The 17,233-nt window shown below is 39.5% G+C and overlaps 1 long non-coding RNA gene and 1 pseudogene across 1 annotated transcript; one reads left to right on the forward strand and one right to left on the reverse strand.

The window, feature by feature from the left end:
* Nucleotides 707-1,447, reverse strand: FCF1P11 (FCF1 pseudogene 11; annotated as a pseudogene).
* On the forward strand, nucleotides 2,686-3,671 carry LOC124901756 (uncharacterized). Its single transcript, XR_007060558.1, has 2 exons — nucleotides 2,686-3,113; nucleotides 3,438-3,671. It is a non-coding gene; the product is annotated as an uncharacterized LOC124901756 (long non-coding RNA).
* The last annotated feature ends 13,562 nt before the right edge of the window (nucleotides 3,672-17,233 follow it).

Here is a 17,233-nt window from a genome sequence, read left to right on the forward strand (position 1 = left end):
TACAAAATTAGCCGGGCATGGTGATGCATGCCTGTAATCCCAGCTAGTCGGGAGGCTGAGGCAGGAGAATCGCTTGAACCCGGGAGGCGGAGGTTGCGGTGAGCCAAGATCGCGCCATTGCACTCCAGCCTGGGCAACAAGAGTGAAACTCCTTCTCAAAAAAAAAAAAAAAACAAAAACTCTATTATTAACTATATTCACCATACTGTGCAACAGAACTCAGAGTATAAAAGGTCTTCTTCCTGAGATTTTGTACCTTGGCCATCATTTAAATTTTTTTTTTTTTTTTTTTTTTTTTTTGGAGACAGAGTTTCGCACTTGTTGCCCAGGCTGGAGTGCAATGGTACGATCTCGGCTCACTGCAACCTCTGCCCCCCGGGTTCAAGCGATTCTCCTGCCTCCGTCTCCAGAGTACCTGAGATTACAGGCACCCACCACCACCGCCGGCTAATTTTTTGTACTTTTAGTAGAGATGGGGTTTCACCATGTTGGCCAGGTTGGTCTCAAACTCCCAACCTCAGGTGATCCACCTGCCTTGGCCTCCCAAAGTGCTGGGATTACAGGCGTGAGCCACTGCACCCGGCCTTAAAATTTTTAAATGAGACAAAATATCAATTTCAAAACAGCATTAAAAAAAGTGAGCATAATTATTCATACTCAGCTCATAATAGAGCAAATGGGTGAATAGAATAATAATTCATGCTATTACATGTTTAATGAACTGGCAGCAAGAGAAAACTGGTCAAAGAAAGGCAGAGGAAACTGGCAACAAGAGGAAAATTGGTCAAAGAAAGGCAGGGAAACTTTGTCTTGTAAGAATTAGAACCCAAGGACTCCATAATCATCTGGCATTCATTCGATGTTATATCTATGGTTAGAAATGTACGTGATAGGAACTCCCAGAATCTTACAGATTCTTCTTTTAGGGTCCTGGTCAACCGTGGCCACAATGTACCATTTGTGCTGAGTTTCTCTCTGTACTAAGCAGTCATCTGCATAGGTTCCTTTGTGTGTGCATGGTAATCATTCAAACCTTGGATCCTTGGAGATTCTTAGAGCCACTCAATACTTCTGCCCCAATTTCTCAATTTCAGCCATTACACAATCAGTTATATAAGGGATACACGTGGCCTACAGACAGTCCGTCATTGACTGCACTAAGTCTGGTTTGGCTTTAATGGAAAAGTTGATAAAGTTGGAATCAACAAGAATGTGGTAAGGTGGCCCAGCTGTGTATTATATTGGAAAAATAAGCAGGAAGGGTGTTGAGGAACTTCTCTTTCCTTTAGTATGTTGGAATCTTTCTTTTCTTCCTTTTTAGGTTTTAATCTATCCCTTTCTTCAAGCCTCTGATCTCTGAGACTAAGCATTGGCTTCATGGTCGCATAATTCCTTGATTTCTTTTGCCTCTGCACACTCACATCACACTCTTGTTTCTTCCGGAATCCCATCTTAGCCTTTTTTTTTGTTTGAGACGGAATCTCACTCTGTCACCCAGGCTGGAGTGCAGTGGCATGATCTCATCTCGCTGCAACCTCTGCCTCCCGGGTTCAATTGATTCTTCTGCCGCAGCCTCCCGAGTACCTGGGGCTATAGGCATGCGACACCACGCCCGGCTAATTTTTGTATTTTTAGTAGAGACAGGGTTTCACCATATTGGCCAGGCTGGTCTTGAACTCCTGACCTCAGGTGATCCGCCCACCTCAGACTCCCAAAGTGCTGGGATTACAGGTGTGAGCCCGGCCCATCTTAGCCATTTTAAGTATACAGTTCAGTGGTGTAAAGTACATTCGCATTGGGTTTTTATATATAATATTTTTATCTGCCCTTCATTTGTGTTTAGCACATGTTATAAAACTGCATAAGGCTATCAAGTAACCTGAGGAGTTATAGGCCAGGTGCAGTGGCTCACAACTGTAATTCCCAGCACTTTGGGAAGCCCAGGTAGGAGGACTGCTTGAGCCCAGGAATTTGAGGCTACAGTGAGCTATGATGGCACCACTGCATCCTAGCCTGGGTAACAGAGCAAAACCTCATCTTAAAAAAATAAAGAAGTTAGGCTGGGAGTGGCAGCTCACGCCTGTAATCCCAGCACTTTGGAAGGCCAAGGCAGGTGGATCATCTGAGGTCAGGAGTTGGAGACCTGGTCAACGTGGCGAAACCCCGTCTCTACTAAAAATACAATAATTAGCTGGGGATGGTGGTGGGTGCCTGTAATCTCAGCTACTTGGGAGGCTGAGGCAGGAGAATGGCTTGAAACCAGGAGGCGAAGGTTGCAGTGAGCCGAGATCGCACCGCTGCACTGCAGCCTGGGCAACAAGAGTGAAACTCCATCTCAAAAAAAAAAAAAAAAGTTGTAATAAGAAATAGCTCAGGCCAGGCGCGTTGGCTCATGCCTGTAATCCCAGTACTTTGGGAGTCCGAGGTGGGCGGATCACGAGGTCAGGAGATCGAGACCATCCTGGCTAACACAGTGAAACCCCGTCTCTACTAAAAAAAATACAAAAAAAATTAGCCAGGCGTAGTGGTGGATGCCTGTAGTCCCAGCTACTAGGGAGGCTGAGGCAGGAGAATGGCGTGAACCCAGGAGGCGGAGTTTGCAGTGAGCCGAGATGGCGCCACTGCACTCCAGCCTGGGGGACAGAGCGAGACTCTGTCTCAAAAAAAAAAAAAAAAAAAAAAGAAATAGCTCTTAAAGAAGACTTTTTATAGTTATTAATCTTTCTTTCCCCATATTCTTTTTGTCCCTAGCTTTATGAGGTATAATTGACAAATATGATTGCATAAAACTAAGGTGTACAAAGTGATTATGTGATATATGTCTATATTGTGAAATAATTACCGCAATCAAGTTAGTTAACACATCTATTTCCTTACCTAGTTACCGTGTGTGTGTCTCTGTGATGAGAATACTTGAGATCTAGTATCTTAGCAAATTTCAAGTATACATTGTTATCAAATAATGTCACTATGCTACATTAGATCTCCAGAACTTACTCATCTTATGACAAAGTTTTATCCTTTGACCAACATCTCCCCATATCTCCTACCTCTTAGCCCCTGCAGCCACCATTTTACTCTTTCTGTGAGTTCATCTTTTTAAAATTTGACATGTAAGTAAGATGATATAGTATTTGTCTTTCTCCGTCTGATATATTTCACTTAGCATCATGCCTTAAAGGTTTATACTTGGCGATTATGAATAATGTTGTTGCAAATAGCAGGGTTTTCTTTTTGTGGCTGAGTAATAGTCTATCACGTCTCTGTATGTACATGTGTGCGTGTGTATATGTGTATGTGTATATATATAACAATGTATCCATTCGTCTACCAATGGACACTTAGGTTGTTTCCATGTCTTGGCTATTGTGAATAATGCTGCCAATGAACATGGGAGTGCAGATGCCTCTTTGACATACTGATTTCATTTCTTTCAGATATATACCCAGAAATGGGCTTGCTGGATTATATGGCAGTTCTATTATTAATTTGTGGAGGAATCTCCGTAATGTTTTCCATAATGGCTTCTACCAACAGCGTACAAAGGTTCCCTTTTGCCCATATCCTTGCCAACACGTATTATCTGCTGTCTTTTTGATAATAGCCATCTTAACAGGCATGAAGTTATATCTCCTTGTTGTTTTAATAAAATCACATTGTTGTACAACCAATTTCCAGAACTCTTTTCCTCTTGCCAAACAATATCTACACCCACTCCTGTCCTGCGAACTTTGTTTTTAGAGAATGGAGTCTTGCTGTGTTGCCCAGGCTGGACTCTAACTCCTGGACGCAAAGTTTCCTCCCACGCCAGCCTCCTAAGTAGCTGGGACTACAAGTGCACACCACCATGCCTGCTGGGATCACAGGTGCACACTGCCATGCCTGCTGGGACTACAAGTGCACACCACCATGCCTGCTGGGATCACAGGTGCACACCACCATGCCTGCTGGGACCACAGGTGCACACCACCATGCCTGGCTCCACATTGTTGTTGCTTGTTTGTTTGTATTTTGAGACGGAGTCTCGCTCTGTCACCCAGGCTGGCATGCAGTGGCATGATCTTGGCTCACTGCAACCTCTACCTCCCGGGTTCAAGTGATTTTTCTGCCTCAGCCTCCCTAGTGGCTGGGACTATAGGCATATGCCACCACACCTGGCTAATTTTTGTGTTTAGTAGAGATGGGGTTTCACCATGTTGGCCAGGCTGATCTTGAACTCCTGACCTCAGGTGATCTGCCCACCTTGGCCTCCCAAAGTGCTGGGATTACAGGCATGAGCCACTGTGTCCAGCCTACATTGTACTTTTTAATGTAACCTAAGAACAAAGGAATCTTTAATAATCCTTTACCAGCCAGGCACAGTGGCTCATGCCTCTAACCCAGGGCTTTGAAAGACTGAGGTGGGAGGATCACTTGAACCCAGAAATTCAAGACCATCCTGGGCAGCATATCTAAAAACACCATGTCTAAAAAAAAAAAGAAATTATTACCCTTACATGGTGGCAGATGTGTGTAGTCCTAGCTACTCGGGAGGCTGGGATGGGAGGATCACTTGAGCCCAGGAGTTCGAGGCTACTGCAAGCTATGATCATGCCACTGCACTCCAGCCTGGGTGATGGAGCAGGACTCTGTCTCAAGAAAAATAATAATAGTTCTTTACCCCTGATCATTTTATTTCAGTGAGAAAAAGATAAGGACATGTTTAGATAGAATCATTCAAATGCCTTCTAAAGCAGCCACCGTGCCTGGCTTCCTGTGACTTTTGACATGACTCCATCAGTCTTCGATAATTTCCTTGCTCTCTGACTCAAGGTGTCTCTGATTTATCTTGTTCTTTTTCTACCCTAGACTCAGAATCATTCATTCTTCTGAGGAAAGCTAAGGGTTCATATTGATTTTTAAAGTAATACCTTTCTTTCTTTCTTTCTTTTGTTATTTCTTTCTTTTTTTTTGAGACAAGATCTGGCTCTGTCACTCAGGCTGGAGTGCAGTGGCATGATCATAGCTCACTGCAACCTCTGCCTCCTGGGCTCAAACCATCCCCCCACCTCAGCCTCCTGAGTAGCTGGGACCGCAGGTGTGTGCTACCATGCCTGGCGAATTTTCGTATTTTTTGTAGAGACGGTATTTCACCATGTTGCCCAGGCTAGTCTTGAACTCCTCAAGCAATCCTCCTGCCTCAGCCTCCCAAAGTGCTAAGATTACAGGCGTGAGCCACCACGCCCGGCCTTAAAATGTTTCTTATAGGTGCCTCTTCCTTCCTATATCACTAAGGCGCTTGTACCTAGGAATCCAAGATCCAGATGAGAAATTTATTTAAAATTTTTGATAAACATTATGACAAAATATTCAATCTCCAGGATAATGATATTTTTAAAAGATATTCAGTCTCACTAGAAAGCAAAGATATGCAACTATAAATTTTGTCACTTCTGCGTTGGGTAAATGTTAAAAATTTGAGAATAACCAGCTGGGAAAAGAGTAGAAAAAAATCTCATGCACCAGTTATGAGAAAATAAAGATACTACCTTTGCTTGGCAAGCAGTATGACAAATGTATCAAAATGTAGACTATCCTTTGATCCATCGTTTCCAAATCTAGGAATTTATTCTAAGGAAATAGTTGGAGATATATGCATAAAGATATAGGCACAAACCTGATGATTAAAATATCGTTTATAGTAGTGTAAAAGGGAAACAACATAAATGATTGCTCCCAAATATATCCCTAGCACCTAACATGCAATATGGTAGGTATCCAATGAATATTTCTTAGGTGAACTAATAAGTGAATATCCAGCTACAAGATGTTGGTTACATAAATGCAGGTGCATCATAAAATATAATACTTTGCAATCATAGGCTGGGCACAGTGGCTCATGCCTGTAATCCCAACACTTTGAGAGGTCAAGGCAGGAGGATTGCCTGAGCTCAGGAATTCAAAACCAGCCTGGGCAACATAGTGAGACTCTATTGCTACAAAAACATTAAAAATTAGCTGGGCATGGTGGCCCAGGCCTGTAGTCCCAGTTACTCAGGGGGCTGAGGTTGGAGGACTGCTTGAGCCCAGGAAGTCAAGGCTGCAGTGAGATCTGTGATCACACCACTGCCCTCCAGGCTGGGTGACAGAGTGAGACCCTATTTCAAAAAATAATACTACTTTGCAATCATTGAAAAATGGTGAGGTAGATTTACATCTAATGACTGTGGTAGTCAGAACAATGGTCCCACAAATATGTCCATATGCAAATCCCTGGAACCTGAAAATACATGCAACTACATGGCAAGGGTGAATTAAGGTTTCAGACAGAACTAAAGTTGCTATTAAACTGGCCTTAAAATGGGGCAATTATCCTGGGTTATCCAGGCGGACGTGGTGTAATCACAGAGGTCCTTAAAAGTGGAAGAGGGAGAACCAAAAAGATGGCAGCATGAGAATGACTCAGCTGAAGCTGCTGGCTTTGAAGACGGAGGAAGAAAGGCATGAACCAAGTGATGTAGACTTCCTCTAGAAGCTGGAAAGGGAAAGGAAATGGATTCTCCCCTAGAGTTTCCAGAAAGGAATGCAGTCCTGCCAACAATCTGACTTTAGCCCAGTTAGACCCCTTTTCAGACTTCTGACCTATAGAACTGTAAGATAAATTTGTGTTGTTTTAAGCCACTAAATTTGTGATAACTTGTCACGGCAACAATAGGAAACTAATAACACTACAGAAACATTTATAAGACATACTGATAAATCTTAAAAGTAGGTTACAAAATAACTTTGTGTTGTTGTTATAGTTTGAATGTATCCTCCAAAACTCATATGTTAGAAACTTAATCCTCACTGCAACAGTGTTAAAAGGTAGGATCTTTTGGGAGGTGTGTAGGTCATGAGGGTTCAGCCCCCATGAATGGATTAATGCCACTATGAAAAGGGCTTTTGGGAGTAGGTTTGCTCTCTCTTGCTCTTCTGCCTTCCTTCATGGGAGAACTCAGCCAGAAAGCACTCAGATGCTGGTGCCTTGATTTTGGTCTTCCCAGCCTTCAGAACTATGAGATAATAACTTTCTGTTCATTATAAGTTACCCAGTCACAGGTATTCTGTTATAACAGAACAAAATGGACTAAGACACATGTGATTTTATTTGTGCATATATATTTGTCTGTATATGCATAGAGATGTCAAGAAGGTTATTCATGAAAAGTTAAATTTAGACTTTTATTAATAATCATTATACATCCATCTATGAGTAGCTGAAGAAAAAATATTTTCTTCTGGTATAACCAAAAGACTGGAAGAGGGTTTAGTGGCATAGGTTCAGTGGAAGGAGAAATGACTACCCAATGGTCTTAGGGACCCAGTGAACTCACAGTAAGATGGACTTTGGCCAGGACTGCACTTATTACCTCATCTGCCAACCCCAACAAAGGGGACCAGGATGACATTTTGGGTCTCTGTGTATAAATGCTAACTAAAACCCTGTGTCTCATAATCCTCAAAATAGCTGGGTATTCCCTAGTGTACTATCCCTGAGTAAATGGTGATAGGTCCTTTTGGGAAAGGACTGAGGATATCATTAATGCACATGTATATGGTAGTCATTACATGACTGTATACATTTGCCAACACTTATAGAAATGTACATTTTAAATAGGTGGGGTTTTTTGTATAATAAAGCTATTTTTGAGGGAGTGGAGTGAGGGTTGAGAAATTACTATTGGGTACAATATTCACTATTCAGATGATGGGTACATTAAAAGCTCAGACGTCACCACTATGCAATATATGCAGGTAAGAAACCTGGACTTGAAATTCAAAAGATCACAGAGGCTACTGTGGGCAATAATAAGCCAATAAATTGGAAAACCTAGAAGAAATTGATAAATTCCTAGACACATACAACCTACCAAAACTGAACCATGAAGAAATCCAAAACCTAAACAGACCAATAATAAGTAACAGAATCAAAGCCATAATAAAAAGTCTTCTAGCAAAGAAAAGCCCAGGACCCAATGGCTTCACTGCTGAATTTTACCAAACATTTAAAAAAGAACTAATACCAGTCCTATTCAAACTATTTCAAAAAAGAGAAGAGGAGGAAATATTTCCAAACTCATTCTATGAGGCCAGTATTACCTTGATACCAAAACTAGACAAAGACACATCAAAAAAAGAAAACTACAGGCCAGTATATCTGATGAACATGGATGCAAAAATCCTCAACCAAATACTAGTAAACAAAATTTAACAACACATTAAAAAAATCATTAATCATGACCAAGTGGGATTTATCCCAGGAATGCAAGGATGGTTTAATAGATGCCAATCAATCAGTGGGATACATCATAACAACAGAATGAAGAGCAAAAACCATGTGACTACTTCAACTGATGGTGAAAAGAATTTCATAAAATTCAATATCCCTTCATGATTTAAAAAAAACTCAAAAAACTGAGTATAGAAGGAACACACCTCAACACAATAAAAGCCATATATGACAGACTCACAGCTAGTATCATATTGAATGGGGAAAATGGAAAGCCTTTCCTCTAAGATCTAGAACAAGACAAGGATACCCACTTTCACCAATGTTTTTCGACATAGTACTGGAATTCCTAGCTAGAACAATCAGATAAGGGAAAGAAATAAAGGGTGTCCAAAGTAGAAAAGAATAAGTCAAATTATCCTTGTCTGCAGATGATATGATCTTATATTTGGAAAAACCTAAAGACTCCACCAAAAAAAACTATTAGAACTCATAAATTCAATAAAGGTGCACCAGTACCATTTCTACATGCCAACAGCAAACAATCTGAAAATGAAATCAAAAAAGTAATTCCATTTACAATAGCTACAAATAAAATGAAATACCTAGGAATTAACATAACTAAAGTAGTGAAATATCTCTGCAATAAAAACTATAAAACATTGATGCAAGAAATTGAAGAGGACACACACAAAAATGGAAAGATATGCCATGTTCATGGATTGGAAGAATCAATATTATTAAAATGTCCATACTACTCAAAGCAATCTACAAATTCAATGCAATCCCTATCAAAATACCAATGACATTCTGCACAGAAATAGAAAAAAAAATCCTAAAATTTTTGTGGAATACAAAAGACCTAGAATGGCCAAAGCTATCTCGAGAGAAAAGACCAAAACTGGAGGAATCACAGTACCTGACTTCTAAATATACTCCAGAGCTATAGTAACCAAAACAGCATGGTACTGGCATAAAAACAGACACATAGACCAATGGAGCACAATAGAGAACCCAGAAATAAATCCATACATCTACAGTGAACTCATTTTTGACAAAGGTACCAAGAACATATACTGAGGAAAGGACAGTCTCTTCAATGAATGGTACTGGGAAAACTGGATATCCACATGCAGAAGAATGAAACTAGACTCCCGTCTCTCACCCTATACAAAAATCAAATCAAAATGGATTAAAGACTTAAATCTAAGACCTCAGACAAGGAAACTACTACAAGAAAACATGGGGGAAACTCTCCAGGACATTGGTATGGGCAAAGATTTTTTGAGTAATACCCCACAAACACAGGCAATTAAAGCAAAAATGGAGAAATGGGATCACGTCAAGTGAAAAAAGCTTCTGCATAGCAAAGGAAACAATTAACAAAGTGAAGTGACAACCCACAGAATGGAGAAAATATTTGCCAACTATCCATCTGACAAAGGATTAATAACCAGAATATAGAAGGAGTTCAGGACCAGGCATGGTGGCTCATGCCTGTAATCCCAGCAATTTAGGAGGCCGAGGCGGGTGGATCATGAGGTCAGGAGTTCGAGACCAGCCTGGCCTACATGGTGAAACTCCGTATCTACTAAAAATACAAAAATTAGCCAGGGTTGGTGGCGCGCGCCTGTTGTCCCAGCTACTTGGGAGGCTGAGGCAGAAGAATCGCATGAACCCAGGAGGCAGAGGTTGCAGTGAGCCGAGATCATGCCACTGCACTCCAGCCTGGGTGACAGAGTGAGACTCTGTCTCAAAAAAATAAAAATAAAAATAAAAATAAAAAGAAGGAGCTCAAACAACTCAATAGGGGAAAAAATGTAATAATCCAATTTGAAAATGGGCAAAAGATCTGAATGGACATTTCTTGAAGACATACAAATGACAAATGGGTATAAGAAAAGGTACTCAACATCAGTGATCATCAGAGAAATGCAAATTAAAATTAGTGAGAGATCATCTCACCCCCTTAAAGTGGCTTTTATGCAAAAGACAGGCAACAACGAATGCTGGAGAGGATGTGGAGAAAAGGGACACTTGTACACTGTCAGTGGGAATGTAAATTACCACAACCACTATGGAGAATAGTTTGGAAGTTCCTCAAAAAACTAAAAACAGGATGACCATATGATCTAGCAATCTCACTGCTAGGTATATGCCCAAAAGAAAGGAAATCAGTTTATCAGAGAGACATCTGCACACTCCTGTTTATTGCAGCACTATTTACAATAGCCAAAATTTGAAAGCAGCCTAAGTGTCCATCAACAGACAAATGGATAAAGAAAATGTGATACATATGCACAATAGAGGACAATTTAGCCATGAAAAGAATGAGATCCCGTCACTCGCAACAGCATGGATGGAACTGGAGGTCATTATGTTAAGTGAAATAAGCCAGGCACAGGAGGACAAACTTCACATGTTCTTACTTATTTGTGGGAGCTAGAAGTTAAAGCACTTGAACTCATGGAGATAGAGAGTAGAATGATAGGTTACTAGAGGCTGGAAAGGATATGGGTGGGGCGCACTGTGGGATGGTTAATGGGTACAAAAAAATAGAGAGAATGAATAAGATCTAGTGTTTGATAGCACAACACGTGCTAAAAATAAAAATAGCCAGGCACAGTGTTGTAGGGCTCTAGTTCCAGCTACTCAGGAGACAGACAAGAGGATCCCTTGAGCCCAGGAGTTCAAGGCTGCAGTGAGCTGTGATCGTACCACTGCACTCCAGCCTGGGCAATACAGCAAGACCCTGTCTCAAAAAATAAAATAATAATAATAATAATTTAGTTGTACATTTTAAAATAACAAAAAGAATATAATTGGATTGTTTTTAACACGAAGGATAAATGCTCAAGGTGATGAATACCCCCATTTACCCTGATATGATTATTATACATTGTATCCCTGTGTATGAGATATCAAAGTATCTCATGTGCCCCATAAATATATACACCTACTATGAACCCACAAAAATTAAAAATTATAAAAAAGAAACCTGTATTTATACTCCCTAAATATATAAAAATTAAAAAAACTATAAAGCTATTTTTTAAATCCCAGGTTTAATTTAATTTTTCCAATCTTAGTAGTGTTCACTCTCCATGATCACAACTACTGACCAGAGACTAGAATTAGACCTGGGCATCATTCCAGGGTGTCAGTGAAATTGAAAAAGAAAATTATAGGAACACCAGAGACAAAGAGAATTCAATCATGGGGGGAGGTGGGCACAAGTTGCAAACAATCAAAAATCACATCGACAAATGACATCGGACTTCTTTTTTTTGAGACGAAGTTTTGCTCTTGTTGCCCAGGCTGGAGTGCAATGGCAGGATCTCGGCTCACCGCAACCTCCGCCTCCCAGATTCAAGCGATTCTCCTGCCTCAGCCTCCCGAGTAGCAGGGATTACAGGAACCTGCCACCATGCCTGGCTAATTTTTTGTATTTTTAGTAGAGACAGGGTTTCACCATGTTGGACGGCCTGGTCTTGAACTTCTGACCTCAGGTGATCCACCTGCCTCGGCCTCCCAAAGTTCTGGGATTATAGTAGGTGTGAGCCACCATGCCTGGCCGACATCAGACTTCTCAGTAGCAACTCTGGACACTAAAATAATGATGCGATGCCTTAAGAATTCCGAGGAAAATATATTTCCAACTAAAAACTGTCATTCAAATATGTAGTAGAACAAATATCTTTTCAGACACGTATATAGCATAAAATTATTTCCTGAATAATGTACTCCATCAAAAATAGGGGAACAAATTCAGGGAAAAAGACATGGCGTATAAGAAACAAGGGCTCCAACTTGAGTACAAGAGAGATGAAGGGAATACCCTGACTAATGGTGGGGACATATTTCAAGACAGGTCAGAAGCAGGTCAGAAGGCTCTAAGATAGGCTCAAGCAAGATTAAATACACAAATACCTCATTTATCAACACTTCAATAACACGTTAATTAACATTGTGAGAGTTCAGAGATGAGTTACATAGAAAACTAAGCAAATGAGAAGACAATTAGAAGGTGTACAAGAAACGAAAAGTATTCATAAAACACTTCATGGGTCAGCCATAAAAAGTATTTATTTGGTCCTAAAACTGTAAGCACTGAACACTGATTCAACCAAAAATTGACCCAACTGTATTAGGAGGATGGGGAGATAGGAACTATCCATGTGTGGGGATATGTGTGTGTGAGGGAGAGTGTGTGGACACCAAATCCTCATATTTCATTGCAATATGATAGATGCAATGCATTTAGACTGAAACTCTCATATTTACTTCTGAGAAGCAGAGGAAGCTGAGCAAAGTAAAGAATCACAGAGACAAGCCATATTTGTAGGAAGCACTTTGCCCTGCAGAAGAGAAGACATCATTGTGAAGAGTTCCACAGCTGCTTATCAAAGAAGATGGAGAAGAGTAAATGCAAAATTCAGAGTCAGGTAAATGCCTGCTAAATAGGTGGGCACATGGCTCTGGGGTCCCCCTGCAAGTATATTCATCAAAATAGCTGGTCCAGGAAAACTCTTCCTCAAAGATGAGCAACCACACAGACAACACAGGTGAGAGTCTATAGAAAATTAACAGAAGAGGAAAAAAAAAAAACAGAAGGGAAAGGAACAAAAAAATCAAATGGTGGACAGAGATTATCAATAGAAAATAGATAACTAGAATATTCTTGTATAGGAAAGCTATCACCAAACATTTTACTCTGACAGTGTATTAGTTTGTTCTCACATTGCTATAAAGAAATACCCAAGAATGGGTAATTTATAAAGAAAAGAGGTTTAATTGGCTCATAGTTCTGGAGGCTGTAGACGAAGGGTGGCAGCATCTGCTGGACTTGTGAAGAATCCTCAGGAAACTTACAATTATGGTGGAAGGTGAAGGAGGAAGGGGGAAGCAGGCTCATCTTATATGGCCACAGCAGGAGGAAGAGAAGCAGGGGAGGTGGCACACACATTTAAACAACCAGATCTCGTGAGAACTCACTCGCCACACAGTGCCAAGCAGGGGATTATGCTAAACCATTCATGAGAACTCTGCCCCCATGCACCAGTCACCTCCCTTACCCCCAGCAGTAGGGATGACATTTCAACATGAGATTTGGGTGGGGACACAGATCCAAACCATATTGGACAGAAAGGTAGAAAGTAGTGTTAGTACATTGATATTAGGTCGGTGCGAAAGTAATCGCGGTTTTTGCCATTACTTTCAATGACAAAAAATGCAATTACTTTTGCATCAACTTAATATATTTAAGATATCATTTAAAGGTGATAAATCAAATAGTAGGAGTGAGTGTATTTTGCAATACCAAGTTCAACACAAAATGTAGAAAAAAACCCACTAATTTCATCATTGAATTATAGTATGAAATGATAGATGTGTTTCCAAAAATTAAAGGTTAAAGGCATAGAGTAAGACCCTGTCTCAAAAAAATAAATAATAGTAATTTAATTGTACATTTTAAAATAACAAAAAGAATATAATTGGATTTTTGTAACATGAAAGATAAATGCTAGAACAAAAATATAAGCCTTCCAAATTATTGGAAGTAACATACACAAAATAAAGCAAATGGAGAAGCTCATGGAGGATTTTTTTTTAAGGTTTAAAGGAGAGAGAATGACATGAAATAATGTGATAGGTCTATGCTCAAACATACCTCTGGTGTCAAAAATGCAAATAGGCTGAACTCACCTATTAAAAGAAAAAGACTGGCAGATTGGACCACAAAGCAAAATCTAACTCTGTGCTGTTACTTCTACTTAGAACAAAGTGATGCATAAATGTTGATAATAAAAAGATGGGCACTAGTACAATTAGGCAAATGCAAATAAAAAGAGAGCAGGTGTCACAATCAAACAAGGTTGAATCCGGGTCAAAATCATTAAGCAAGTCAAAGAAACACACATTGAATGATAAAGGATCCATTTCTCAATGAAGATATAACAGTTATGAATATGCAGCAAAGAAAATGGCATCAATATTCAAAAACAAAAACGGTAAGAGTCACAAGGACAGTAGTAACAGAAGATTACAGGTCATGAGAGTTGACATGAAAAAAGGAGTAAAGCTTATAGGCAATCTAAATATCACAAATAATACAGACTAGATTGTAAATATAGCTTATGCCTTGAAAACAAAGGGTAGGATCCATAGCATGTTCAATAAAACTGGCTGTACCTTAGGTCACAAAGAAAATAACACTAAACACTTACACAGGTGCTTACTATGCCCCAGCCATCCTTCTAAGCAATTCATGTATGTTAACTCACTTAATTCCAACAACTTATAAAAGTACATATATTATGATTCCCATTTTGCAGATGGGGAGACTAAGGCACAGAATGGTTATATCTATCACTTTTGCCAAGATTGCAGAGAGCATGCTAGTGAGCAGCAGAGCTGGAGTTTAACCCAGGCGGCCTCACTCCCAATCTGTGCTCTGAACCACTAGGCCAGAGACTTTTTTCCATAAAGTCTCAAAAGTAGAACCGCTGCAGATAGTTTCTAATCACAATGCCCTAAAAGCAGAAGTTAATAGTAAAAACAAAAAAGCTTAAGAACTCTGCCACCTAAAATTTAAAAAGAAAAAAATAAATGAACGAACCAACAAATCAACCAAAGAAACAAACAGTTAACAAACAAAAACTACCCATTAAGTTTTGGGTAAAAGACAATCCAAACTGGACTAGCGTTAAAGCTCAGAAGACAAGGTCTTTAATTTTTATATTAATAAACAAAAAAATAAAAATGAGTGACTTAAGGATCTTATCAAGAGGTTATAAAAACATAATTGAAATAAAAATAAGGAATCCACAAAGAAAAATAAAATGAAATTAATGAATTTACAAACAAAAAATGGTACTACCAATAAATAAGTGAAGGAGCTGGTTCTTTGAAAAAAAGGTAAACCAATAAAACAGAAGAGCCTTTAAACAATCAAAAGAAACGAAAACATACAAAATATTACAGATCTTAGAAAAATTCATGGAAGTGGAAAATCCTGGTTAGAGAGTATGAACATTTATAATTTTGACAGATATTGCTGATTTGCCATATACAGAAGATTTTTCCAGTTTCCATCTCCACCAGCAATGAATGGAACTGATTGTTTCCTCACATGTTCAACAACACAGTATTAGCCATTTTTACAATGTGTCAACCTGAAAGATGAAAAGTAGTGCCTCTGTATAGTATTATAGACAAATGTCTATTTTTTTTGTTTTGTTTTGTGGTTATAGCCTTTGCCAGAATTGGAATCTGTTTTGCTTGAGTCATGATAAGAAGTTGGAAGTTTTTCTTCCATGCTGTATTACTTTAAATAATATTAAACCTATTTTTCTTTATTATTATTATTATTATTATTATTATTATACTTCAAGTTTTAGGGTACATGTGCACAATATGCAGGTTAGTTACATATGTATACATGTGCCATGCTGGTTTGCTGCACCCATTAACTCGTCATTTAGCATTAGGTATATCTCCTAATGCTATCCCTCCCCTCTCCCCCGACCCCACAACAGTCCCCAGAGTGTGATGTTCCCCTTCCTGTGTCCATGTGTTCTCATGGTTCAATTCTCATCTATGAGTGAGAACATGTGGTGTTTAGTTTTTTGTCCTTGTGATAGTTTACTGAGAATGATGATTTCCAATTTCGTCCATGTCCCTACAAAGGACATGAACTCATCATTTTTTATGGCTGCATAGTATTCCATGGTGTATATGTGCCACATTTTCTTAATCCAGTCTATCATTGACGGACATTTGGGTTGGTTCCAAGTCTTTGCTATTGTGAATAGTGCCGCAATAAACATACGCGTGCATGTGTCTTTATAGCAGCATGATTTATAGTCCTTTGGGTATATACCCAGTAATGGGATGGCTGGGTCAAATGGTATTTCTAGTTCTAGATCCCTGAGGAATCGCCACACTGACTTCCACAATGGTTGAACTAGTTTACAGTCCCACCAACAGTGTAAAAGTGTTCCTATTTCTCCACATCCTCTCCAGCACCTGTTGTTTCCTGACTTTTTAATGATTGCCATTCTAACTGGTGTGAGATGGTATCTCATTGTGGTTTTGATTTGCATTTCTCTGATAGCCAGTGACAATGAGCATTTTTTCATGTGTCTTTTGGCTGCATAAATGTCTTCTTTTGAGAAGTGTCTGTTCATATCCTTTGCCCACTTTTTGATGGGGTTGTTTGTTTTTTTCTTGTAAATTTGTTTGAGTTCATTGCAGATTCTGGATATTAGCCCTTTGTCAGATGAGTAGGTTGCGAAAATTTTCTCCCATTTTTTAGGTAGCCTGTTCACTCTGATGGTAGTTTCTTTTGCTGTGTAGAAGCTCTTTAGTTTAATTAGATCCCATTTGTCAATTTTGGCTTTTGTTGCCATTGCTTTTGGTGTTTTAGACATGAAGTCCTTGCCCATGCCTATGTCCTGAATGGTAATGCCTAGGTTTTCTTCTAGGGTTTTTATGGTTTTAGGTCTAACGTTGAAGTCTTCAATCCATCTTGAATTAATTTTTGTATCAGGTGTAAGGAAGGGATCCAGTTTCAGCTTTCTACATATGGCTAGCCAGTTTTCCCAGCACCATTCATTAAATAGGGAATCCTTTCCCCATTGCTTGTTTTTCTCAGGTTTGTCAAAGATCAGATAGTTGTAGATATGCAGCATTATTTCTGAGGGCTCTGTTCTGTTCCATTGATCTATATCTCTGTTTTGGTACCAGTACCATGCTGTTTTGGTTACTGTAGCCTTGTAGTATAGTTTGAAGTCAGGTAGCGTGATGCCTCCAGCTTTGTTCTTTCGGCTTAGGATTGACTTGGCGATGCGGGCTCTTTTTTAGTTCCATATGAACTTTAAAGTAGTTTTTTCCAATTCTGTGAAGAAAGTCATTGGTAGCTTGATGGGGATGGCATTGAATCTATAAATTACCTTGGGCAGTATGGCCATTTTCACGATA

Source organism: Homo sapiens, chromosome 7 (genome assembly GCF_000001405.40).
Source record: "Homo sapiens chromosome 7, GRCh38.p14 Primary Assembly".
Lineage (NCBI taxonomy): Eukaryota > Metazoa > Chordata > Mammalia > Primates > Hominidae > Homo > Homo sapiens.